Raw genomic sequence first — 27,801 nt, forward strand, 5'->3', positions numbered from 1 at the left:
GATAAAGGAAACAAAACCTCTGCTCTCATGGAACTTTTACACAAATATGCCATATATGGCAAAGTCCCCTAATGGAATAGAACAGGCCATTGCAAGAGAGAACATGGGGGCCTCTGAAGAGATAACATTTAAGCTGACATCTTAAGAATGAGCGAGCTGAGACTGTTGAGAGATGCTGGTGAAAATAACCAGGAAACCATGAGCCTCCAGCCTAGCTGTCAACCACCCACCCACCAATACCCAAGAAGTAATGAAGAGAAAGGCCCTGTCTCAACCTAGGTCCAGAAGCACTATCAAGGTTCCCAAGACAACCTTGAAAGGGAAGGGAGACCTCCAAGGGAGTTCCAGGGAAAAAAAAAAAAAAAAAAAGCCTCTACAAAAAAGACCACTGCCTCAAGAAAACCTGAGGAAGGGAGCAGGCCACACTATCCGGCCACTGCGACCAGCTGAATGAGGAACTCAATCAAAATGAGCCACAGGAGGACCCAAAGAGTGAGGAGCCTCCGCCATCTCCAGCATCTCCCTGAGAACCCAGTAATTTCAGGGCAAGGCCAGAGACCCATGAGCTATCTGAGAAGTCTCCAGAGGTCTAACTCTAGAGAAATAGCCAACAGAGTCTAGAGTACGTTTAACATCATCCCACAGGGTACGCCCACGGTGATGAAAATAAGACTAATACAATGGACTCTGGTGACTTGGGGGGAAGGGTGAAAGGGGGTGAGAGAGAGAAGACTACACATTGAATGCAGTGTACACTTCTTAGGTAATGGGTGCACCAAAATCTCAGAAATCACCACTAAATAACTTACCCATGTAACCAAACACGACGTCCCCCAAAAACCTATTGAAATAACATTTAATAGGTTAAAAAAATACAAGTGGAAATGTTTAACAGACAGTTGATTAAACAGCTCAGAAACAACCCGTGGGCAAGTGATACTTTTATTCAAATGAATAAAAGTAATTGGGAGTGGACTGGGGCACCCATGTTATATAGAGAAGAGCCCCCAATTACACCATTTCAAGGAGGCTGATTAAAGAGCAGCTAAAAAGAAGAAAAATTAGGAAACGGTAGTGGCCAAGAATCCAATGGAGGGGTTTTTTAAAAGAAGTGGACAACAATGTCATACTGAAGAGAGGTCAAATACAAATGACTTCTAGCAATATGGAGTTCACTGACTTCAATAGGGAAACTTTCAGTGAAATGAGGGTAGAATCCAGATTACAACTGGCTGAGGAGTGATTGAAACCTAAATACAGAGAAGAGGTAAGGCTTGGCTACAAAGAAGAAAAAGAGAACAGGAAACAGAGACAGGTTTAAGGGAAAATATGTAGTTGAGCACTCCTATTTAATACAGAGCTTGAAATTATATGCTAAATGAGAGATACTGAAGATAAAGGGCTGATTGATAGAACAAGGTCTCTAAGGAGTTACAATGGGATAGGATTCACTGATGTGCTCATTCACCTATACTCTCATAGTGTTGACCAGAGGACAGACACCTCTTCTGGGACAGATGAGGATGATGATATAGATAACTAAGGAAGAAGCTTAGAAGCTCTCCTATTAGGTTCAATTTACCCGTTAGGAGGGTAGGCTTCTGCTGAGGCAGCAGAGGTGACAGGCTGAGTATTTGACAAGAGGTGAAAATCTGAAATAGTCTTTAAGAACGGAAGAGGTTGGACCGCCAGGGCTGCTAAACTGCTTCAAGAGCCTGCCTACTTGAGTCAATCTGTGGTGCTACCAACCAATGGTATATACTCAGTAGCATGCAGCAGCCCATGAAATCAAAGAAGTCAGATGGCCAAACTGATCCACGGATAAGGTTCTGCAGAGCCAGAGTGACAGGCCAGAGTCTATGCTAAATGGGGAAGCGGTAAAGCCAGAGTAAACTGACAGAGGGGGGGGGGAAAAGGTTGGTTAAGGAATTGGAGGCTTCTTGAGGTCAAAGAGTAAGTATACTGAGAGGAAGAGATTAAAGGAAAAGACATTAAAATCATAGAATAAATTAGGCTGTACATTTCAGAAAATAAATTTCTGATGAGTCCGAAGTGTGGACTTAAAATTGGTTTGCTAAATGGAGTAAAAAATGACTAGTGGAGATGGAGGTCCAGAAATTGTTAAGGTCATCCATGACTAATGAAATTGCCCACAATGATGGCAGCACCAGGGAAAGAGATGCCCATCATCGAAGTCCCCTCCATAAATGACGAGTAGTAACCAGAGATGAGTGAGGAGGATAGATGGTGCAGCTCAACAGCAGAAGCCTCAAAATAGAAGAACAATGGTGTAGCAATGGCAATCAAGAATACAGGGGCAACAGACCCTGTAATCCATCCATTTACTAGCAGTAAAGTGAGAAAATGAACACTCTCCACTTCAAATAGTCCTAAGGTAAGTATGGCTGAGGGAGAGTCAATTTCCAGTTAATGAAAAACCAGAAAAGCATATTTACAAAGGAATAGGGAATGAAAATCTCCATAATGCGAAGAACTGGCAAGGACAGCAGCAAAGGTAAAATGAATTGAGGAAAGTAGGTAACAATTTGAGGCCTGGTGACTGGATGGGCTTCTGTTTCAGATGGCAGCAATGCATTATAGGGATGAGAAGCAAAGTGAATCAAACCAGTCTCTCAATGTTTCAACTGAACTCTGAAACGAGATGTTTCTATGACAAAACCAGTCCTGGGAAGTGACCAAGACGAGATGAGTTTGAATTGTTATTCAAGGTTCCAAAGAGAACATCAGTGATTTGCTGTTTTGCGTTGTCAATGAAGTTTAGCCCCAATTAGAGAGGATGGTAGGGCTAGGTCAGAAAGACTAAAGCTGCCAGTGCCCAGGTGGCCTACTGGTCTCAACAGAGCAGCATAATTTGCAGAGGGAAGGGGCCCATAGATGACTGAACGTCTAGGCTAGGTTTGTCAAAATGTGTCTAACACTCTCACCTTACCTCCATGGAGTTCAGCATTGAATGGAATAGAGATGCCGACTTGCTAGCCCCAGGGCATAAGTGAAAGTGCTTGAAAATGCTGCAAAATTCAGACCCCAGCAGAGGGAAGTCTATAGGCGAGTTCCAATACATGTTAGTGACCAATACTTAGATTTTTCCAAGAGATAGTCAGTACAGACACTGTATGTTCTGTCCTCAGGAGTGCCGAATCAATTTTTCGCTCATTAAATGGGGATTTGGACTATACAGCCTCTATTGTCGTCTTTAAATTCTGTAACCTTTTTAGGAAGAAACATCCTTAGAAATCATCTATGTCTTACCCTGTCAAGGGGAGGGTTGTAACTTTTTTCTTTGTCACTAACTTGCATGTGGTAGGAAGCCAAGGTCCACAACAGATAAGCAACTAACCTAAGGGGCCAAACATAGAAGCTAAAACCCCAATTCTCTTATTCCTAAATCCAGTGTTCTTTACGGGACGTAATTCTAAGATTCTCATCGGGGCTTCTGCAAACCTTTTTTGAAACTAAAGGACATTCTGATTTCATCCTACGTCCCTGACAACTTCAAAAGGGCTCCTCAATACAAGGTGGGCCACGGAGCCATTTCTAAAGCTTCTTCCTGTGGTGCCTTTTCCCCCTCCCCACTGACAAGATACACAACCTAGCTCCAGAGATCAGGCTAGGGAAAAGCTTTGCCTAATAAAGAAATTTCATGGAACTTTAAGGAAATATTAAATCAAGTCTTTCTTCCTACCAAAGTAGAAATACACTTTACAGAACATACAAGTGAGAAGGGGTGAAGAGAGTGAAATTCCAAAATCACTCTAGTTTATTCACATAATATAGTATTTGATTCCATTCTTTTGTACTGTTCCCTACTTTTACAATGTGTACAATGTTTCACCATGTTCCAATTAATGGTTGAGCTTTAAATGAAAATATTCTGGATCTTCCATTTATTGGTATCAACCACAATAGCAAGACCCCCAAGAAATACTTGATCTAAACTGGGAGGGTCCAACACAATTTTTTTTTTTAATGGACTTGCCACCTTAAGAAACTTCAAGTGTATCTTTTTGTTGGCAAGAAAATTATTTCCCAAGAGGTAATCAGATTCCCCTCCCTGCCCCCGCTCTTTCAACCAACCCTCCTCCTAACATACACATACAGAGTTACACATTTCATGAAACTGAGGCCAAGTCCACTGCAAGCAGAGTCTTAACATTTTCAGAAATGATCCGTCCTTCATATCTGCATAAGCTGGGATCCTTGGCAATGGGGAAAAGGTGCCATTTGCTTCTCTGAAGTAACTTGGGGTCTGAATTGGTTGTGAGCTTTAAGAAGCCAAAGAGAAAGGGAAAGCATTTCCTTGTTTTCCCTATTAATGGTTTGTTGCAAAGGGATAAACTTCTCAAGAACCAAAAGTGAGGAAATGTGTTGGTCATCACTGGATTCTTGCTGGAAACAGAAGGCAGGTGAAATCTTCAGGAATCACTTCACACTCCAAAAACACTATTCTCAGCAATGATAATAGGCTAATCACACCACTGATCAAATTATTTTGGCTCAGTTCTTTATTTTATAGTTAGCAAATGAAATTAGAAACTGCTTTGGCACAGGTCAAAGGTGGCTCCCATATACTCACTAGTTTTCCTCAGGATTATCAATACTCATTATCAAAATGTACTTTTGCTTGGTTACCATTTAAAGTTGCCACCAATGTAAATGACAGGGGTTAGGGTGGGTATGGGTGTGGGGAACCTGAGCATACACACAATTTTTTAAATCTTTTAGATGTAATGCAATTAACCATATCTAATATTCTTTTAGAAAACACAAGAAACACAAAACATGCTCAAAGATCAAGAAATCGAGTTATACTTTTCATAAGGCACCACCAATTACCCTGATAAATTGTAAATAAATATGTAAGGGAATAATCAATAGGGAGTCTTGAGGTTTTACAAGACATTCCTGTTTAGACCACTTGGAGTACTGCAAAAGAAAAAACAAACAAGATACAGCTTTCATAACCCATCATATCCTTGCCCAGTGCACATCATTTGTTGCATAGTGGTGACTGGATATGATCCAGGCCAAGACAAGACCAAAATTCAAAAAATACATTAACAGCCATTCTTCCTCATACTACAGTAGGAGATACCACTTGGGACATTCATATCCAAAGAAGTAATGGTATGACTTAAAAAAAAAGGAGGAATTTCAAAAGGAGTACTTAAGGACCTGCTATAAAAGCAACCTTCTACACACATATGGAGCTAATTCACATGTGAAGCTTTATTAAATCTGGTTATATGTGGGACTTCAACAGCTCAATTTTTCCACAATTTCCACTTTTCAAATCCCATGCCAAACTGTCACTTTTTCCCTTAAAAAGTGGATAAACCCATCTTTTGAAAGACAGGTCTTCTCAGTTTTTCTGTTCATCCTCCTACTGTAAGTACTGGCTGATATTCACACACATGTACTACAGAATTAAAATACTGACAAGCAAGTAGTTTCTTGGCGTGCACGAATTGCATCCAGAACCCAAAAATTAAGAAATTCAAAAAGACATTTTGTGGGCACCTGCTAGCACAGAAGCGCAGAAGCAAAGCCCAGGCAGAACCATGCTAACCTTACAGCTCAGCCTGCACAGAAGCGCAGAAGCAAAGCCCAGGCAGAACCATGCTAACCTTACAGCTCAGCCTGCACAGAAGCGCAGAAGCAAAGCCCAGGCAGAACCATGCTAACCTTACAGCTCAGCCTGCACAGAAGCACAGAAGCAAAGCCCAGGCAGAACCATGCTAACCTTACAGCTTAGCCTCTGTCCTTTAAAAAAAGAGAGAGACAGACAGACACATGGGGTCTCGCTGTTGACCAGGCGGGACTCAAACTCACAGGTTGAAGCAATCTTCCCACTTCAGCCTCCTGACCACAGGTGCACTCTACTGCACCTGGCTGCCATGTTTTTTATTATTAAAGTACATTATGGGTAATCACAGGTTTAATGTTTGCCGTTTCCATTATTCAAGGTATGACATGCAATAATTTATAATTTTACTGAGGCACAAATTTGAATCATGCAGGCAAAGCTGGTGTGCAGCAGCTTAGTGAGGAAGTCATGCATCTACACATCAACATGGCTTTGCTGCAGTACCTATCAGGAAGCAAAATAAACATCTGTGGAAGAAAAATCTCCTGTCTTCTCCCCCAGCTAGAAAGCTAACTACTGGTGCTGTATTTGTACTTTTAAACTTGGGGATCTGCATAGTTCTAATGACTTAGCTTTTAAGAATACCACAGGCCTACCATATTTCCATTTTTCTTTCTATAACCTTTGCCAGAGTTAAAATACTAATGATGAAGAATTGCAACTTCAGTTGCAGTTTAGAGGAGATAAGGGTAGAAAGACATTTTAAATCATGTCTTAATACAAAATATTACAATACAGAAGGGAGCAAGTAAGTAATTTTCTCTAAGTGAAAATAATGCTTTGTATTAGAACACCAACATTTCTTTAAATAGATGAATCTTGTTTCATTAATTCCAAAACCGCAGATTTGTGTATTTTTTGTTTTGCCATTAATTTCTCCCTTCTGTTCTTCTCAGCCTTGGTCTAAACCTGTGGTCAAGTCATACCAAATCCTCCATGACTGTCAAGTAAATACAGAAAATCCCACAGTATCAACGAAAAGACATATTTAAGTTTCAAAACGTCAGAAGGTGACAGGAAGCTATTCATACTTTCTCAGCATCCTCATGACTCTCCACTGATAGTGGAATAGTTAATGGATGATTAGGAAGGAAAAATAAAAATTTTAAATGTATTCCAGGCATCTGTCACTTAAAATTACATTCAATTTTTAACCCACAAATATCTGAAGACTGTTACAAAGAAGATCAACAGGCAAAAAATATTGTGCTTTCTTGTATAACATCAACCAGAGGAAATTCTTAATTGATAATCGTTAGCTTGGCAAAACGAAAACTTATGAAATCAGTTAATTAGTTACCTTGCAATATCCATTGAAATCTTCGATCATACACAAACTTACTTCAGATGAGACCTCAAGACATATGCACAGCAACACTAACAAACCTCTGAACAAGTCAAAACACTCAAAATGTTATACAGTATTAAGAATGAATAAAAAGTAGGTAGTATGAACTTCAGAGAAAACATTTACAGAAATTGGATTTTATAAGAAAACATCTTTTTTTTTGTAAGATTCCTTTTGAGTTAAATCTCATACCCACTCAAACTGTAACTGGACAGTACATTTCACTTCTAGTTACTAGAAGACAGTTCTTTAAAAGAGACTGGGGCAAAAAGGGAAGAGGAAACTATAAGCTGTTGCTAGGTCCACCCCAATCCCCCCTTTAAAAGGAAAACTGATGAATTTAAGTCAAACCACAGATTTTTTTAAACCAAAATAAAGACACCAGACAGTGATGACAAAACACTATTTTTAGTCATTTTTTTTTTTGTCCTTTAAAAAAAAATTAGTCCCCTTCTAATAAGAGTTTACATACAGCTTACCTAATACCTTAAGAAGAACAGAGAACACAACAGGAGGGAAGAGGACACAGCACCATAGTTTCAAACATTCACACACAAAAGAAAAAAGAGCCAGCACAGACTAGAGTGAGACCAAGTTTCCCAACAGACAGGGACAAGTCCCAACACACAAAGGACATATAATTATCTATATGAACAAAAGCAAAATGGAAGATCTGGTCAGGCTGGGATGGAGGAGGGAGTGCTAACTCCTTGTACTACAAAGAAGGAATGGGATTTTTTTTTTTAAAGCAAAAAAGAAAAAGCAAGCCCCCAAATGGATTTTTGATGTTGAAACTCTGTCATATGCTGCTGGTAACAGTAAATATATATATTTATATATTCATATATGTATATTAAAAAAGGAAAAATAATCTATGTATAGAACAGTCAGTAGTCAGAGACATTTAGAAAAAAGTAAAAACAAGTCCTTTTTTTTTTTTAAAAATGGATTTACTAAAACAACTTCATCACCCAGAGGTACTACAACCCCACATCCTCTGATGAAGCCATGGTGTTATTCAACAGCATCTGCTGTGGGCCGTAGTTAGAAATCACCAGTGTTGGAAACAGCAGACATTGGGGTCAGGGCTGCAAGGCAAAAAGCTGTTATTTGCTGGTCTTGCTCATGGCCATGCCTGAAGCCTGGTGTCTGGAATACTTGTGAATGAAGTTTTCCCCGAAAAGCATGCATCACTGTGGCTCAGTAAGATAGTACGACTGGTCATCATCGTCATCTTCTTCTCTTTTTTTTTTTGGCAGAAGCCTGGATCCATGTACCTGCTCTTCCCTAAAATGTAGACCCAAGACAGCAAGACTTTTCAAAGCCAAAAAACGGCTCCTTGCCTTGTAGTAGGTTCTTCTCCTCAGAATCCAATCTAGTCAGATTTCTGATCTAGATGATATCCTCATCTTACAAAGATAAGGTGACCTGCCCCAGCTTGTGAGAGGTTCTCCTATTTGGGATGTTCTTCTAGCACAAACAAGCACAAATCGCTGAGGTCAATAGACTGTGATACCATTCCTTGACGTCTAACAGAAATAACTTTGGCCCTGTTACTCCTAGTTGTATCTTTAGGGCATTAAGTACCAGGTAACAGTGGAAGGAAAGTGGTACTCCAATCCCTCTCCAACTATCCCAATGAAGGAGATCCAAGCAATTAGCACCTTCAGTTGGTGCTGCTCCTAAGTTGTAAGCCTCTAACTACTATCAGCTGGACAAAAGCCACATCCTATATGCCCTGTTAGCACACCAATGTATTAATACTAACCAGCCACCCTAGAGCTCAATTAAGCATCTGGCCTTAATGCAGTAAACCACACTCAAAGGAGACATGAAATATTGGCTGTTGTACCAAAGAAGACACCCTCTGCATAGATATGTTGATAGAGAATGTAACCCACAGAGTCCATGCAAAGAGGAAGCCAGCACTAAGGGGACTTTCTCTGAAGGCCATTCATCTTTGGAAGCAACATTCCAAGTGGATATAAACCACTCTACTTGATGACTAAGGTCTCAATGTGGTCCATGTCCCCCCATGTCCCAAACTAACCAAGCATCTGCTAACTGGTCTCTTTAAGATCCTCCATTGGTAGTTTGTAGCTCATTATGAAGGAAGGAGGTGGTGCTGGACCTGGGCTAACTGGCCCCTGCTTCTTTGCACAGTTTATACAGATGTAATCTTCATTTTCAGCCATTTCTGGAGATACACCCACACAAACTTGATGAAACCACTCATCACAGCCACCATCACATTGTACCCAGTCTACCTGTAGGAAACAAGATTGGGGAATGTTTAGGTTACATAAACATTAAGCCTAGAATAAAAGCAAACCAAAGAGCTTTCTTGGCTTAAACAATAGCAAACAACTGGGATGTCTAGATAGGCAATGACTTCTTATGGGGTTATTTTTTAAAGAAAGAAGCTGAGAAGTTAATACCCCAAAATTATATTTCACCATAGTGTGTCCACAAAATTAGGCCTCTTAGGTACTCCATTACCTCATGAATACCTGGGGCTCCTTGTGAGGCAGAAACATGTTTGAGAAAAATTTGACAAAAAGGGAACTTCTAATAGAGCAGCCAAGTAGTTTTAGCTAATATTAACAATTTCTAGGCTCTAAGACAATGCAATTATCAATCAAGAAAGGAAGAGTACAACAATGTGAAGGCAATCCTGTGTATTAGCTTTATTTCAAAGAGATAAGCCAAAGTACTAAGAGCATTAAATACCTTTTTAGAAAAGCAGTCACATAGGCCACTTTTAAAACTAATATTTTTTATTCTTCTCTTCTTCCGTTACAAATACAACTCCCTATAAAAAGTTAGCAAATATCAGATGTCAAATCTTACAAATTAACCAATTATAACAGTCAAAGACACAGGTCAATAGATCACTCTGGGGTTTAAAATTAAAATCTGAAAAACTGATAGGTCAGTGGCAGGTGTCAAACTTTGACCCTTCTGACAATACTGTGATTACAGGAGGCTAGGAAGGGATTGTAGTTTGGTGACTTTAAGCCTTGGACTTAAGAGTTAACAATAAAGTGACTTTTGGCTTTTATATTTGAAGGCTGATTGTGGTAGTTTTTACAGCTAATGTCATGGCAGACAAGAACATTTAAGATGAAAAGAGCTACTCTTCCTCACCTCAATACCAAGGTTGGTCATTTCATTGGTAACGTTAAGAAGCCACTTAAAACCATGAGCTTTACCAGATATCAAAGTAAGGAATAGAAAGGGATCCAAGAAGTACCTCTATACAACTTAAGAGAAAGAACAGATGAAGGAGGTTTTGGCTAGGTAAATGAGTTTCATTCATAGCAACTGAGTAGTTTTCAAAATTAGTTTCCATGTCCTATAAAAAACTGTCAAAACCACAGTAGTCACGTCAGTAGTTTTAGGCTTGTAATAAGGGGTGGGAAAAATAATTTGTCAAAATGATATTCTACTTGTTTTGTTCCTATGCTAAAGTTCTAGATCTTAAGAGACAATATTGTGTTAACATCAAGATTACTCAACTCAGAAGCTCTGAGTTCCAGTGTGTATCATTTCAGGCAAGTCATTTAACCTGAGTGACTCAATTTCCTCATCTGAAAATGGAGATGACATTAATTACAAGATTACCGAGAGGATCCAATGAAATAATGTATGGCAAAACACCTAATTCACTGCCCAGGATACTGGAGGCACTTTCCAGTCATGGTCTCATGGCTCTACTCATTACCCTACACTACACAAAACGTTCTGCACCTTGATACAACTGTCGGCAGCACTGCTTTTCAAAGTGTGTAGACCACTGGCATCAGAATCATCTATTGTGTTTGTTTAAAATGTAGCTGGGACCCATCACCCTATGAACTCAGAATATCTGGGGAGTACAAGCCAGAAGCTTACATTTTTAATCAGCTCCCAAGTGATTCTCATATATTCTAAATCCGATCATTGCTGGCCCTCTGTGATATCACTTCCTGTAAATTCAGAGCAACTTAACAATACCTTCCTAAACTGATTTTTGTTCTGTAATTGATTGTTTAGCTTCTGAAGTCTGTGCAATAAAAAAACTCACCAAAATGTTCCTATTGTAGCAAACTAATCAGAGACCAAAAAAAAAAAAAAGGGGGAAATAATGGCATCTGTGCAAAATGTAAAAATTAAAGTACTGCAAGCAGTAAAAACACAAAATGCTAGCTGTAGAGTACGTGCACTCAGAGTGAGTGTTTTGGCTGTTTGGGACTGGTAAAGGGAACTGGATAGATAAACTGTGGTTCTCTGTGCTGCCCAGGTTTGAGATACCATGCTTTTTATAATGGTACCTGTGAACCAACAGTTACCTTCACCCTTACACCTCCAACCCTCTTTCTTAATCCAGTCTAGTCCCCATTCATGCTAATCCATTGGATAAGAATGTTATTAATGTATCAGTATTTGCTACAAAGAAAAGTGTCCCATGTCTTTTTAAATCTAGTGTTTGCACTATACTCACTGGCTTACAATTTCCCAAAATTCTCTTACAAATAAGACAATACTTTCCCTTTTGTGATTTTGACTAAAGGTCCCTTCCTAAGCCCAGATCTTCTACCATTTCAAAAGAGTATATAACCTTCCTTGAGATACTGGTACACAAATTCTAACCTAGACTACAGGTTATATAACAATTTAGCCTGATAATAGAACAAGCAAAAAATAGTCCTTCTCTTTACCAATATCTTTTTTATCATGTTCATCTACTAACAATCAACTCTGAGTTCTACTTTTGTGTGAAAGGCCCACAGCAACATAAAGCAAACTAAAGTTTGGGATGTCAACTGAATCCACAGATGATTTTGACACAGGGGCAACAGACTATGTAGTATCCTGAAAACTCAAGAACACAGAATTTGGATAACTGTATAAATTGTCATTTCCCCCCCTTTCATTATTTCTAGGAGATGTATTTAGTGAATCACAAAAATAATTACTAAACTTCACAGCTATGAACTGTTCAAATATTAAATGATAGGAGATTTTACATTACAGTACAAATAGGTTACTATGTTTAGATCTGGGGGAAATGTCTGTTTCAAAAAGAAATATATTAAAAAGAGGAAATATTAGTTTAATATTCATGTTTTGCTGTATGGTTTCATATTCACACTTAATAAAAAATATTTGGCATAGTATATTTTGTTCATTTCTTAGAGAATAGTACTGCACTGGGAAAAAAGAAAATCTGGTAATTTAGTGATATTCTTAGCTTACTAATTAAACTGAGCTTTTGTTATTTTGGCATTTAATATCTTTTGCACCCCAAGTTTCCTAGCAAAAGCTGGATTTGAAAAAGGAAAACAATTCACTAAGTGAACTACAACATATGTTCAGAATCCTTGTGTATATTTTCTTGGTGCTCTCAATATTCAGTGACCAATCCTCCCAATTTGCCAAGGAATGACAGATTTCTCAGCATGTGGGAATTTCAGTGCCAAAACTGGGAAAGTCCCAGGGAAACTGGGACAGTTAGTCACTCTAGCTCAACATCATGCGCGTGCACGCGTGTGTGTGTGTATTACACACATTTAGGTAACTTAACCTTTGCTTATCTGTGCTAAAAGGAGATATGAACTAGTAAAGCCGCTGGAAATGCAAATACTTTGATTGAGGCAACACCCCCATGAAAATCTTAAATCAGAGTGGCTAATAAATAGTAAAAATGAGAGTTCATAGTCTCTTAATTTACCACACAAAACTTCTCATGGAAGTAGGAATGGGTAAAGGAAAAGGCCAACAATAAGAGGGTTAAAAAAAGTGAAGAGAAAAAGACTATTTTCATAAGTAAAATTATTAAATATTTATTCTAATACAGAAGAAAAATACTACTTAAATTAGTAGCCTGAGAGAATTTGATATTTTTTCTAGTTAACTTGTTTTATCTTTGGTACCAATAAGACTGAATAAAGAGTTCAGAGACAAAAAGATTCTGAACTTCAAAATTAATTTTTTAAAAAGTTTTGTTAATATTAATTTTAGCTTGACATTAATTTAATAATCAAAGGAAAAATTATTTTTTCAAAATCTTTTACATTATTCTGGTATTGTCTTCCTTTTTCTAAAACATCTTGAAACTGAGGCTAGGCACATTTAACTAGCCTCATTTAATCTTTCTTTTAATTTTTAAAAGAGCATTTCTCAAAAAAAGAGGTGGGCATAGTGGTGTGTGCCTGTAGTCCCAGCTATTCAGGAAGCTGTGGCAGGAGGACTGCTGGAGCCCAGGAGATCAAGGCTGCAGTGAGCTATGACCACACCACTGCACTCCAGCCTGGGCAACAGAGTAGGACCCTGTCTCAAAAAAAAAAAAAAAAAAAAATTTAATCTGCATATTTTGGGGGAAAAGTCCCAGTAATTATTAGTTAGAGAAATAATAGTAATTACTGGTCAGAGAATTCACCTAAAAACAAGTGAACCCTGGAAGTTATTTTTTGCTGCATGGTATCTTAAAGAACAAACTGGGCTAAAAAGCATGATTTTTTCTTTCTTTCTTTTTTTTTTTTTTTTTTTTTTTACATCATCTTGCCAATCTTTTTCTTTTTGAGACAGGGTCTCCTGTGTAGCCCAGACTGAAGTGCAGTGGGGCACTCACAGGTGCGATCATAGCACATTAACTATAGCCTTGAACTCCTGGACTCAGGCAATCCTCCTGTCTCAACCTTCTGAGTAGCTGGGACTACCAGGATGGGCCACTGCAGCTGGCAAAGGCATTCTTTTCTTATTTTGCTCTAAAGATGTGTGCTGTATATTAATTGTTTTCTCAGAGAAACACTAAACACTGAGAAAGTTTTAACATTCTTTACAGAAATTTTTATAGAACTGTAACTTTTATTTAGCAAAATCAATGTCAGGAACAAACATGTAGAACCATAAAAACTGCAAAACAGCAGTAACAGGCAAAATATCTATAATCTGAAATAACTTCTGCTTAAAACGAAACACGTTATAGAAATAAAACACTATTTTATATAAACTAACAACATAGGGTGGGGCACACGTTGCTCACCTTTACGTATCGTAACAGTTCAAAATAGACATTTTCTCTGAGCACTCAGCCAAATCTCCTTTTGCTCCATCAAAATGTAGATGATAACTCTAGATTTTGTTTAAAGATTTTGTTTAAAAAATACCTATAATATTAGGAGCAAATCTCACAGTTCCTTCAAAAATAATGATCACATCTTAGCACTTACGTTGCATTTTTTGGTTAACAAGTGCTTTCATAGAGATTGTTTTGTCTTATCATCATAACCCTTTGAATAGGCAGGGCACCTGTTAATTTGACAATTTCATAGCAAATGAAAAAAAAAACGGCCTAAGTGTTTATATTGCTATAAGAAGACAACAGGAATAATGGATGAACTGAATCCTATTTAAATGCTGAGCAGAAGGGAGGGGAAAGATTAAGTGATAAGGAGAAAGAGTATAAAAATAAGACGAAAGGCTCATGATAGATGTAAACATTATAGAAAGAATGTCAGGAAAGTTTAAAAAGGAAACATCCTACCTTGCTGCTAGTCTTTAAACTACCATAAAATTAAGGAAGAAAAGGGAGAAGGTTCTGCCAATAATGAACTGCTACACTTTGATACCCAAAGAGAAAGTTAACTCTTCATCAGCCTCTTTAACAAACAAACTCAGATGGAAATAAATTCAAAATTAAAGATAAAAATAATATGCACATATATATTAAAATGCTTTAAAATGTTTATAATATAGGAAGATGCTTATAAAATGAACAGATGCAAGTCAGTAAACAGTCTGACAATGATATAAAACAAACGCCATAGAAAAAAATTGGAAGGAAACACTAAAATATTTATAGCTGTCTGCCTTGGAAGATTAGACTATAGGATATATATTTTACTATGCACATTCCAAAAAATGAATAGAATACCCCTAATACATCTCATTTAAATATGTGTCATTTAGTTTTGGAATGTGTTTTTGTACTTACATCTCAATTATTGATGGGGTAAGGTGTTAGTGGAGAGAACCTGGTCTGACAGCCAAGATCTAGGGTTCTACTTTTGGTTTTGCTACTAACTAGCTCTGTAACTTTGGTCACATAATTACCTTCCCTGAGTCCTGGTTGCATCATCTGTAAAATGAGCAGCCTGAACAAAGTAACCTGTTGGTGCCTTCAAGCTCTAAAAAGGTTTAAGTATTTCATTGAAAAAGTGAGGGCATAACCTATAGGGAACAGTGATGCAGTTTTATTTACTGTTTATATTTTCAAACTGAGGCACTATTAGAATTCTAAATATCAAATAGTATAATGAGCATAATAAAATTAAAACTACAGATTTATCAATATTCTTGATAAGAGCCGTAACAGGTGCCTCCAATCATTTAAACAACTGGAATTTTTCATAAAGTCTGACTATTACTCTCAGAAGTTCATACTGTCAACATTATATTTAAAGAACGGCCATAAGAGAATTACTATACTTAAAATTTAGGGTTGGAAATTTTAAAACAATGCTTTTTTTTTTTTTTTTTTGAGACAGAGTTTTGCTCTTGTGGCCCAGGCTGGAGCACAATGGAGCCATCCTGGCTTACTCCAACCTCTGCCTCCTGGGTTCAAGCGATTCCCCTGCCACAACCTCCCAAGTAGCTGAGATTACAGGTGTCCGCCACCACACCCTGCTCATTTTTTGTATTTTTAGTAGAGATGGGGTTTTACCATGTTGGCTAGGCTGGTCTCGAACTCCTCACCTCAGGTGATCCGCCCACCTCGGCCTCCCAAAGTGCTGGGATTACAGGCGTGAGCCACACCTTGCCTGGCCTAAAATAATGCATTTATAGGTTTGAATTATTTGTTGCAAAAGATTTGAAGAAAATCATATTCCATTTAGGAGGGTGCCCACAGCTCTGAGTGTAAGATATGGACTAAAAGTTTCAAGTCTTTGGAATACCATCTTAATGCAATTTGCCACAGCTCTTACAATACTGGCCCAGGATTTTTTTCAGGCCATTGTGACTATCCGACAAGGTATTTAGTTCTCTGAGTCACCTTATAGGGAAGGCACAAGATTATTCTGAAACTTGTTATGCCCACTGCATATGAAATGCACTGTTTGCCAGGGAATGTCACATAGCTTCTCTCTGCTCCTGTCTCATTATGTTCATTAAGTATATGATTTTTGAAATACAACACTTCTACTAGGCACACTAAGAGCCTCATTATTCAAAACAGTTTATAGAAATTGTACAAAAGACATTATGTTGGAAGTCCAAATCCTAGAACCAAAAACATACTACACATTGATATCAAACATGTGTCTCCACAACTGTTGCTCCTTGACCTCTCATGCTTGACTATAAACAGTTGGAACTCACCTTGTCCTTGCAGGGCCTTTGGCAGTTCTGTGCTGCGCACACAGCATTCTCATCATCAGACTCCTCTGCTCCTGACCAGTCATACTTTGAGGGGATGTCCAGCACCTTTTTCTCTCTTTTCTTTTCAGTGCTCTCTTTCACAAGTTCAACTTTGGCTGCAGCAGCCTTCTCCTTCTTTTTCTTTCTCTCTTCTTCTTTTGCTAGTTTCTTGGCCAGTTTATTCAGCTCCTTTGATTTGTCTGCACCTAATTTTAATTTCTTCTTTCTAGGTTTGTCCATTTTCTTTAACTCCTTGGACTTCTGTTTTCCTTCTCCAAAAAGTTGCTCTACCTTTTCTAGCTTCCGTTTCCGTTTCTTCTCTGAAGAGTCCTTTCCTTTCACTTTTAGTGGTTTCTCTTCCATGCTGTCATCCTTCAAAAATATAAATTTAGGAACAATTTTAAAGCAAGACAGTTAAAAAACAGTATTACTCTCTTATATGAGGTACCTAGAATAGACACATTCGGAGAGACAGAAAGTCGAACAGAGGTTACCAGAGGCTGAAGGGAAGAAGAAATGGAGATTTGTTTAGTGGGTATAGTTTCTGTTGGGGATAACTAAAAAATTCAGGAAATGAATAGTGGTGACAGTTGCGTAACACTGTCAATCTACTTAATGTAACTGAATTGTCTACCTAAAAAGGGTTAAAATGGTAAACTTTATGTTATGTACATTATGCTACAATAAAAAAGATTTATGGGCCAGGCACAGTGGTTCAGGCCTGTAATCCCAGCACTCTGGGAGGCCGAGGCGGGTGGATCACTTGAGGTCAGGAGTTCAAGACCAGCCTGACCAACATGACGAAACCCCGACTCTACTAAAAATACAAAAATTAGCTGGGCGTGGTGGTGCATGCCTGTAGTCCCAGCTACTTGGGAGGCTGAGGCAGGAGAATGGCTTGATCCCGGGAGGCGGAGGTTGCAGTGAGCCGCAATCAATCCACTGCACTCCAGCCTGAGCAACAGAGCAAGACTCCATCTCAAAAAAAAAAGGGGGGGGGGGGGATTTATGTTATTCTAAAGATATTCAAAAGACATTTTAAGAAGGTAAGTATACTATTCAATGAAGATAACAGTAGAAGATCACAAGTCCGAAATGAAATATTTAACTTATACTAGCTTACTAGGAGAAAAAGGGCATATAAAAAAAAAATCAGTGTTAGCATAATATATTAACAGTCTGTAGCATCTCTGTTAGAGATGAAAACATACACAAAAAGCAAACTGTACTAAATTATGTTAATAACTTTTGGGATCTTCATAATAATAAAAGTATTGGTAGTTATTTTTAAAAAGTCAGAAAAACATAAAATTGTATCCATGATCTCATTACACAGAATATATAGTGACTTTGCCAAGGGCTAGAAAACAGTTCATGTGACAAAGCAAAAAAAATTGTCATTTTTGTTTTCAGCTTTTTAATATTGTTGCTAGTATGTGCCAATGTAATAAACATTTTAAATTTTAATGGTAAAAGTGTATCTAGTAACAGAAAGAACAGGAGGAGGAATAAGAGAAAGAAATACTGAAGAAACATAACATAAACCTAATAATTCCCTTGAGAACTCATTTTTCTACAGATCTGACACTTGAAAATCTTTGACAGGAACCTAAGAATCAGCAGAATCCAAAAGAACACTGGATTATAAGTGCCTTAAGTCTATTACATCTTGAACAAGATATTTAACCTCTTAATACTTTGTGCTTCCTTATCAGTAAAAGAAAAAGGATTGGGTAAGATAATGAATGTGAAGAAAATGCTTTGCAGACTGGAAAACACTATCTAAATTAGGCTACCTAGATCTGACTTTCAAAACAAAAACAAACTATAGCATATGCTAAATATATCTGTATCAACTGTTGGTGACATGGCACCATTCCATTACATGGAAAGAAGGAAACTAATGAAAAGAATACTCATGAAAATGAATGAAAAGAAAAGAGTCAAATGGCAGACTTAGAATCCAGATCTCTTTATTTTTTACTGGATGTGTGACCTTAATTTTCCACCTCTCATACTTACTTTCTTCATATGCAGAATGGGTAAAATACTTGCCCTCTAGCTCCCCTACCCATTCCTCTTCAAGACAGTGGTGAGGACCAAATGAGCTCATGGATATGGTACCATCATCTCATCAAATGAGCTCATGGAACTGCTATGTAAGTGTGATATATGAATGTGGACCTTCTCTCCCCCCCAGGCTTCTACTACTTAACCATCCCTGTGCTTCTTTTCATAGTCACTATATATTTTCCCCTATCTCTGAGCCCTCCAATAATGGGAGTCTGGGCTACAGAGGTTGTTCTAAACGGGATGGTTATCAATCTTGCCCTTCCCCGCTTCTTTTTAGCAGAAATGGCCTTTTTTTTTCAACTTAGATACTACCTAAAAGCTTAAAAGAAAGCCATAAATCAAATCTCTGGTGTCCTACAAGAAGAAAGGAAAGGAAAGGGGAAAGGAGAAAGGGGAAGGAAAAAGGAAAGGAAAGAAGAAAAAAGAAAAAGAAAGGAAAGGAGAAAAGAAAGAAAAAGAAAAAGAGAAAGAGAGAGAAAGAAAGAGAAAGAGAGAAAGAAAGAAAGAGGGAGGAAGGAGGGAGGGAGGCAGGGAGGCAGGCAAGCCAGCAAGCCATAAAGCCCAATTTCTTTGGCTGAAGTGGGAAAGTAGACCAGCCAGATTACTGCCCTCAGCCACCCCTTTGCCAACATTTATGATACCTCTAAGGAACCTAGGCATTCTAGTTTTTAACCACTGTTTAAATAAGTATTAAATCCACACCTCCATGATATGCAAGAATCTGTCTTCAGAGGGTGGGTGTGTGGCCTGCAAAATCCGCCATATGTGTTGAGTCTCGTCCAGAGATACTTCCAGGAGATCTCCAACCATCATAAGTTCTTCCAGTTGTGCCTTAGCTCCAGGTGACAACTCCAGCACTGGAGGTTCCAAACTTCGGGGCACCAAAGGGCTCTTCCGAGGTTGTTTCCTTGGGGTGCTAGAACCTTTCCCAAAAAATACCATAAAACAAAGCAAAAAAAATTAAAACTATGGAAAAAACATGTTTTCAAAGCAAATATTGAGACTAGCCCCCCATCCCCCAATACTAACTTCAGATATCTGGATTCATTATATCAGTATGAAAATGTAAACAGAATTAGAAACAAATACAGACCAAAAAGATGAACAATTCCAAGGCCCACTCTAAAAAAAATGGTTTGGGGTTATTAATAAAAAACAGTTCTTCCAGCCGGGTGTGGCGGCTCACCCTTGTAATCCCAACACTTTGGGAGGCTGAGGCGGGTGGATCACCTGAGGTCAGGAGTTCGAAACCAGCCTGACCAACATAGTGAAACCCCATCTCTACTAAAAATACAAAAAATTAGCCAAGCGTGGTGGCGCATGCCTATAAATCCCAGCTACTCGGGAGGCTGAGGGTAGGACAATCTCTTGAACTAGGCAGGGGGAGGTTGCAGTGAGCCAAGATCACGCCATTGCACTCCAGCCTGGGCAACAAGACAGAAACTCCATCTCAAAAAAAAAAAAAAAAAGTGGTTCTTTATCCTGAACATTAATCTCTACTGAGTCTTTATCGTGTGGCAAGGGGAGCGAGCAACCAGAATCTCTCCATTTTAGAGTATACCAAAAGATTAAGCATTTAATAAAGCATTTGGCTGCCTTATATAAATAACTGGTTGTCTTTCTAATGAACAGACAATAATACACAGTTCCATAAAATCCTGAATTTTATTATAAAGAGATAAACACCCTCCATCTTCCAGAGTTGTGACCTAAAGTAATGTGACTTGTTTTTGCTGAGGGACAGAAAAATTAACATCACAGAGAAAATCACCCTCCAAGGAAAGGAAGAACTTTCTAACAATTAAAGTTACCCAAAACCAGAATAAATATGCTTAAAAAGCAGCAGTTCCACAACACCTGATAATGACCACATAGAGGGTGAAGGACTACCTATCCGGAATTTTCTAGAACTGAGGCATGGGACTAGATGGCCCCTCAAGTTCTTCTAATTAGGACTCTAAAACTCTATGTAAGTTTTCAGGTTGTGATGACAGAAAATGCAAACAGGGATTGGCTTTTCCAAAAGAAAACAGCATTTTCAGGTTCCATTAGTATTTCATGGCCAACCATTGTACTCCACTCGAAATGGAGTCACAGTCTTGATTAACATAATGCTTTTTCTCATTGGTTTTCTGCTTATGTTCCCCACAGTTTTTTAAAGGAGTAATACCTTGAGAACAACTCTTAGAAGCAGAAGAATAAGCATGCTCTGCACAAAATGAAGGTGCTGTCCACATGTGGGTCACCACCTCCTCGGATTTGATGGGAATCTCTTCATCACAAAAAAGATTGGGTTCAAGACTACTAGAGGACTTCACACTGGCTGTGTCCTGAAGAAGAAACAAAGAGAAGTATTCAGAATTAGAGTCATTTAACTTATTTTATGACAAGGCCCAAAATGGAGGCTTTCAGGTTAAAGCTTCTAATATACTAAAAATATGAGATTAAAATTAAATATCTGATGTTAAATAAGATAGAAAATGTCCATTGGGGAGAAAAACTGTAATTGTGGCAGGCCAGGTCTCCATGAGCAACCAGAACAGTTTCTACTAACACATTACTATAATTCTGATGAATGTGTAAGTTAAACAGTAAATAACTGGAGAAACTACTGCCTTCGTACAAGGGCTGAAATGTGAAAACAAACCCATTAAGATTTTCACCCGGGTTTTCTAAGACCCTAAAGCCTGATAAAGTTATGAAGGCATTCTTACACACACCTTGTACCAGGGCCCACTTAAGATAAGGAAATTTTTCCAAGTCTCTAGAGAAAGCTTTCCAGACCCTGGACCCTACCTGAAGATTAGATACAGTTTGAATGAAACATTCTGGCTTGTAGGTGCACCTCCTACACACAGACATAGAATTTAGAATGAATACAAGCGTTGAAAAAAACTTGTAACTTTTAGTTGGTCTGGTGAGTTACTCCATAACCAGCTGCAGAAATTAACTCCCTTCTTTCCCAGTCAGTCTGCATCTCCTTATTGGACTGAGAGAAAAAGCAGCCAGACCTCGTTCTGTCCAGGAATATAATGACTACAGATTCAAGACAAAAGAGAGTGTTAAGGTCAAAAACAATCCACGGAGATAATAAACCTACAAAAAAATTACTATTGCTCTCTAGATTCCTCCTCTCTGGGCAGGGCATCTCTGAAAAAAAGGCAGCAGCCCCAGTCAGGGACTTATAGATAAAACCCCCAGCTCCCTGGGACAGAGCACCTGGGGGAAGGGGCGGCTGTGGGCGCAGCTTCAGCAGACTTAAATGTCCCTGCCTGACGGCTCTGAAGAGAGCAGCGGATCTCCCAGCACAGCATTCGAGCTCTGATAAGCAACAGAATGCCTCCTCAAGTGGGTCCCTGGCCCCCGTGCATCCTGACGGGGAGACACCTCCCAGCAGGGGTCAACAGACACATCATACAAGAGAACTCTGGCTGGCATCTGGCCAGTGCCCCTCTGGGATGAAGCTTCCAGAGGAAGGAACAAGCAGCAATCTTTGCTGTTCTGCAGCCTCTGCTGGCGATACCCAGGCAAACAAGAGTCTGGAGTGGACCTCCACCAAACTCCAGCACACCTGCAGCAGAGGGGCCTGACTGTTTGAAGGAAAACTAACAAACAGAAAGGAGTAGTGTCAACATCAACAAAAAGGACGTCCACTCAGAGACTCCACCCAAAGGTCACCAACATCAAAGACCAAAGGTAGATAAATCCACGAAGATGGGGAGAAACCAGTACAAAAAGGCTGAACATTCCAAAAACCAGAATGCCTCTTCTCCTCCAGAGGATCAAATCTCCTCGCCAGCAAAGGAACAAAACTGGATGGTGAATGAGTTTGATGAATTGACAGAAGTAGGCTTCAGAAGGTGGGTAATAACAAACTCCTCTGAGCTAAAGGACCATGTTCTAACCCAATACAAGGAAGCTAAGAACCTTCAGGAAAGGTTAGAGGAATTGCTAACTAGAATAACCAGTTTAGAAAAGAACATAAATGAACTGATGGAGCTGAAAAACACAGCACGAGAACTTCGTGAAGCATACACAAGTATCAATAGCCGAATCAATCAAGCAGAAGAAAGGATATCAGAGATTGAAGATCAATTCAATAAAATAAAGTGAGAGGACAAGATTAGAGGAAAAAGAGTGAAAAGAAACGAAAAAAGCCTCCAATGCATATGGGACTACGTGAAAAGACCAAATCTACATTTGATTGGTGTACCTGTGTGATGGAAGAATGGAACCAACTTGAAAAACACTCTTCAGGATATTATCCAGGAGAACTTCCCCAACCTAGCAAGGCAGGCCAACATTCAAATTCAGGAAATACAGAGAACACCACAAAGATACTCCTTGAGAAGAGCAAACCCAAGACACATAACTGTCAGATTCACCAATGTTGAAATGAAGGAAAAAGTGTTAAGGGCAGCCAGAGAGAAAGGTCAAGTTACCCACAAAGGGAAGCCCATCAGACTAACAGCGGATCTCTCGCAGAAACTCTACAAGCCAAAAGAGAGTGGGGGCCAATATTCAACATTCTTAAAGAAAAGAATTTTCAACTCAGAATTTCATATCCAGCCAAACTAAGCTTCGTAAGTGAAGGAGAAATAAAACCCTTTCCAGACAAGCAAGTGCTGAGAGATTTTCTCACCACCAGACCTGCCTTACAAGAGCTCCTGAAGAAAGCACTAAACATGGAAAGGAACAATCGGTACCAGTCACTGGAAAAAACATACCAAATCGTAAAGACCATCGACGCTATGAAGAAACTGCATCAACTAACAGGCAAAATAACCAGCTAACATCATAATGACAGGATCAAATTCACACATAACAATATTAAATGTAAATGGGCTAAATGCCCCAATTAAAAGACAAAGACTAGCCAATTGGATAAAGAGTCAAGACCCACCAGTGTGCTGTATTCAGGAGACCCATCTTACTCACAAAGACGCACATAGGCTCAAAATAAAGGGATGGAGGAAGATCTACCAAGCAAATGGAAAACAAAAAAAAAGCAGGAGTTGCAATCCCAGTCTCTGATAAAACAGATTTTAAACCAACAAAGATCAGAGACAAGGCCATTACATAATGGTAAAGGGATCAATGCAACAAGAAGAGCTAACTATCCTAAATATATATGCACCCAATACAGGAGCACCCAGATTCATAAAGCAAGTTCTTAGAGACCTACAAAGAGACTCAGACTCCCACACAATAATAGTGGGAGACTTTAACACCCCACTGTCCATATTAGATCAATGAGATGGAAAATTAACAAGGATATCCAGGAACTGAACTCAGCTCTGCACCAAGCAGACCTAATAGACACCTACAGAACTCTCCACCCCAAATCAGCAGAATACACATTCTGCTCAGCACCACATCATACTTATTCTAAAATTGACCCCATAATTGGAAGTAAAACACCCCTCAGCAAATGCAAAAGAATGGAAATAATAACAAACAGTCTCTCAGACCACAGTGCAATCATATTAGAACTCAGGATTAAGAAACTCACTCAAAACCACACAACTACACGGAAACTTAACAACCTGCTCCTGAATGACTACTGGGTACATAAAGAAATGAAGGCAGAAATAAAGACATTCTTTGAAACCAATGAGAACAAAGACACAACATACCAGAATCTCTGGGACACATTTAAAGCAGTGTGTAGAGGGAAATTTATAGCACTAAATGCCCACAAGAGAAAGGAAAGATCTAAAATCGACATCCTAACATCACAATTAAAAGAACCAGAGAAGCAAGAGCAAACAAATTCAAAAGCTAGCAGAAGGCAAGAAATAACTAAGATCAGAGCAGAACTGAAGGAGATAGAGACATGAAAAACCCTTCAAAACATCAATGAATCCAGGAGCTGGTTTTTTGAAAAGATCAACAAAATAGATAGACCGCTAGGCAGACTAAAAAGGAGAAAAGAGAGAAGATTCAAATAGATGCAATAAAAAATGATAAAGGGGGTATCACCATCAATCCCACAGAAATACAAACTACCAGCAGACAATACTATAAACATCTCTACCCAAATAAACTAGAAAATCTAGAAGAAATGGATAAATTCCTGGACACATACAGCCTCCCACGACTAAACCAGGAAGAAGTTGAATCCCTGAATAGACCAATCAAGTTCTGAAACTGAGGCAGTAATTAATAGCATACCAACCAAAAAAAGTCCAGGACCAGACAGATTCATAGCCGAATTCTACCAGAGGTACAAAGAGGATCTGGTACCATTCCTTCTGAAACTATTCCAAACAACAGAAAAAGAGGGAATCCTCCCTAACTCATTTCATGAGGCCAGGATCATCCTGATAACAAAACCCGGCAGAGACACAACAAAAAAAGAGAATTTCAGGCTAATATCCCTGATGAACATCGATGCAAAAATCCTCAATAAAATACTGGCAAACTGAATCCAGCAGTACATCAAAAAGCTTATCCACCACGATCAAGTCAGCTTCGTCCCCAGGATGCAAGGCTGGTTCAACATACGTGAATCAATAAACGTAATCCATCACATAAACAGAACCAATGATAAAAACCACATGATTATTATCTCGATAGATGCAGAAAAGGCCTTCAACAAAATTCAACAGCCTGTCATGCTAAAAACTCTCAATAAACTAGGTATTGATGGAATGTATCTCAAAATAATAAGAGCTACTTACAAACCCACAGCCAATATCATACTGAATGGGTAAAAACTGGAAGCATTCCCTTTGAAAACCAGCACAAGACAAGGATGCCCTCTCTCACCACTCCTATTCAACACAGTGTTGGAAGTTCTGGCCAGGGCAATCAGACAGGAGAAAGAAATAAAGGGTATTCAAATAGGAACAGAGGAAGTCAAACTGTCCCTGTTTGCAGATGACTGTATATTTAGAAAACCCCATCATCTCAGCCCAAAATCTCCTTAAGCTGATAAGCAACTTCAGCAGTCTCAGCATATAAAATCAATGTGCAAAAATCACAAGCACTCCTATATGCCATTCACACACAAACAGAGAGCCAAATCATGAGTGAACTCCCATTCACAATTGCTACAAAAAGAATAAAATACCTAGGAATACAACTTACAAAGGATGTGAAGGACCTCTTCAAGGAGAACTACAAACCACTGCTCAACGAAATAAAAGAGGATACAAACAAATGGAAGAACATTCCATGCTCATGGGTAGGAAGAATCAATATCATGAAAATGGCCATACTGCCCAAAGTAATTTACAGATTCAATGCTATTCCCATCAAGCTACCACTGACTTTCTTCACAGAACTGGAAAAAACTACTTTGAATTTCATATGGAACCAAAAAAGAGCCCGCATTGCCAAGGCAATCCTAAAGAAATAGAACAAGGCTGGAGGCATCACACTACCTGACTTCAAACTATACTACAAGGCTACAGTAACAAAAACAGCATGGTACTGGTACCAAAACAGATATACAGACCAATAGAACAGAACAGAGGCCTCAGAAATAACACCATACATCTACAACCATCTGATCTTTGACAAACCTGACAAAAAGAAATGGGGAAAGGACTCCCTATTTAATAAATGGTGTTGGGAAAACTGGCTTAGCCATATGCAGAAAGCTGAAACTGGATCCCTTCCTTACACCTCACACAAAAATTAACTCAAGATGGATTAAAGACTTAAAGGTAAGACCTAAAACCACAAAAACCCTAGAAGAAAACCTAGGCAACACCATTCAGGACATGGGCATGGGCAAAGACTTCATGACTACAACAACAAAAGCAATGGCAAAAAAGGCAAAATAGACAAATGGGATCTAATTAAACTAAAGAGCTTCTGCACAGCAAAAGAAACTATCAGCAGAGTGAACAGGCAACCTACGGAATGGGAGAAAATTTTTGCCATCTATCCATCTGACAAAGGGCTAATATCCAGAATCTACAAAGAACTTAAACAAATTTACAAGAAAAAAACCACCCCATCAAAAAGTAGGCGAAGAATATGAACAGACACTTCTCAAAAGAAGACATTTATGCAGCCAACAAACATATGAAAAAATGCTCATCATCACTGTCGCTAGAGAATTGCAAATCAAAACCACAATGAGATACCATCTCACACCAGCTAAAATGGCAATCATTAAAAAGTCAGGAAACAACAGATGCTACAGAGGATGTGGAGAAACACGAATGCTTTTACACTGTTGGTGGGAGTGTCAATTAGTTCAACCATTGTGGAAGACTCTGGCAATTCCTCAAGAATCTAGAACTAGAATTACCATTTGACCCAGCAATCCCATTACTGGGTATATACCCAAAGGATTATAAATCATTCTACTATAGACACATGCACACATATGTTTACTGCAGTGCTGTTCACAACAGCAAAGACTTGGAACCAGCCCAAATGCCCACCAATGATAGAATAGATGAAGAAAATGCAGCACATATATACCATGGAATACTACGTAGCCATAAAAAAAGATGAGTTCGTGTCCTTTGCAGAGACATGGATGAAGCTGGAAACCATCATTCTCAGCAAACTAACACAAGAACAGGAAACCAAACACTGCATGTTCTCACTCATAAGTGGGAGTTGAACAACGAGAACATATGGACACAGGGAGGGGAACATCACACAGCAGGGCCTGTCCAGGGGTGCAGGCCTAGGGGAGGCATAGCATTAGGAGAAATACCTAATGTGGTTGATGGGTGCAGCAAACCACCATGGCACGTGTATACCTATGTAGCAAACCTGTACGTTCTGCACATGTACCCCAGAACTTAAAGTATAATACAAAAAAAATTATGGTTAAGTAATCTACCTTCTATAGTCTACAACCTATAATAACTCCTATACCAACAAGTTAAGGAGGGGAAGATAAATTTAGATGTGACAGCCTAAGGACACAAACCATTTAATCCTCTCTACAGGTTTTCAAACCTAGAATCTTACCAATTGCTCTTAATACAAGTATATGTCTGACTGACAATATATAGATTACAGTAAGTCTTCATGTAATGTCATTGGTAGGTTCTTAGAAACTGCCTTTAAGCAAAAGGAAGTATAGTAGCAGGTCTTTGAATAAAGTTGTTTTCATTTCATTATAACAGTGATGAGGGGGAAAAATAAGTTCAGCTTGCAGATCAGCTTGGTACTGCCCATTAATCTCATTGTTACACTTAAAGTCCTTGCAATGTTAAGTGAGCTCTGATTAGGTCTATGATTCTCCTTGAAATTAGTTTCCACAAGCTCACCTACATAGACACAATCCCAAAAGATGCAGGACAGACTTTGCTTCATTAAATATGTACCTCGTAAGTAA

At 38.8% G+C, this 27,801-nt stretch overlaps 1 protein-coding gene across 1 annotated transcript in view; it reads right to left on the minus strand.

Annotated features, from left to right (window-relative positions):
- The window catches only part of KDM5A (lysine demethylase 5A), a 109,264-nt gene continuing 85,137 nt past the window's right edge, over positions 3,675 to 27,801 (minus strand). The window contains exons 25-28 of the mRNA NM_001042603.3: positions 20,659 to 20,818; positions 19,191 to 19,411; positions 16,377 to 16,787; positions 3,675 to 9,280 (exon numbers count right to left, since the gene is read on the minus strand). Of these exons, the coding sequence (NP_001036068.1) occupies positions 9,074 to 9,280; positions 16,377 to 16,787; positions 19,191 to 19,411; positions 20,659 to 20,818 (999 nt within the window). The 3' untranslated portion in view covers positions 3,675 to 9,073. The remainder of the gene's footprint in view (positions 9,281 to 16,376; positions 16,788 to 19,190; positions 19,412 to 20,658; positions 20,819 to 27,801) is intronic.

This window comes from Homo sapiens, chromosome 12 (genome assembly GCF_000001405.40).
Source record: "Homo sapiens chromosome 12, GRCh38.p14 Primary Assembly".
Taxonomy (NCBI): Eukaryota; Metazoa; Chordata; class Mammalia; order Primates; family Hominidae; genus Homo; species Homo sapiens.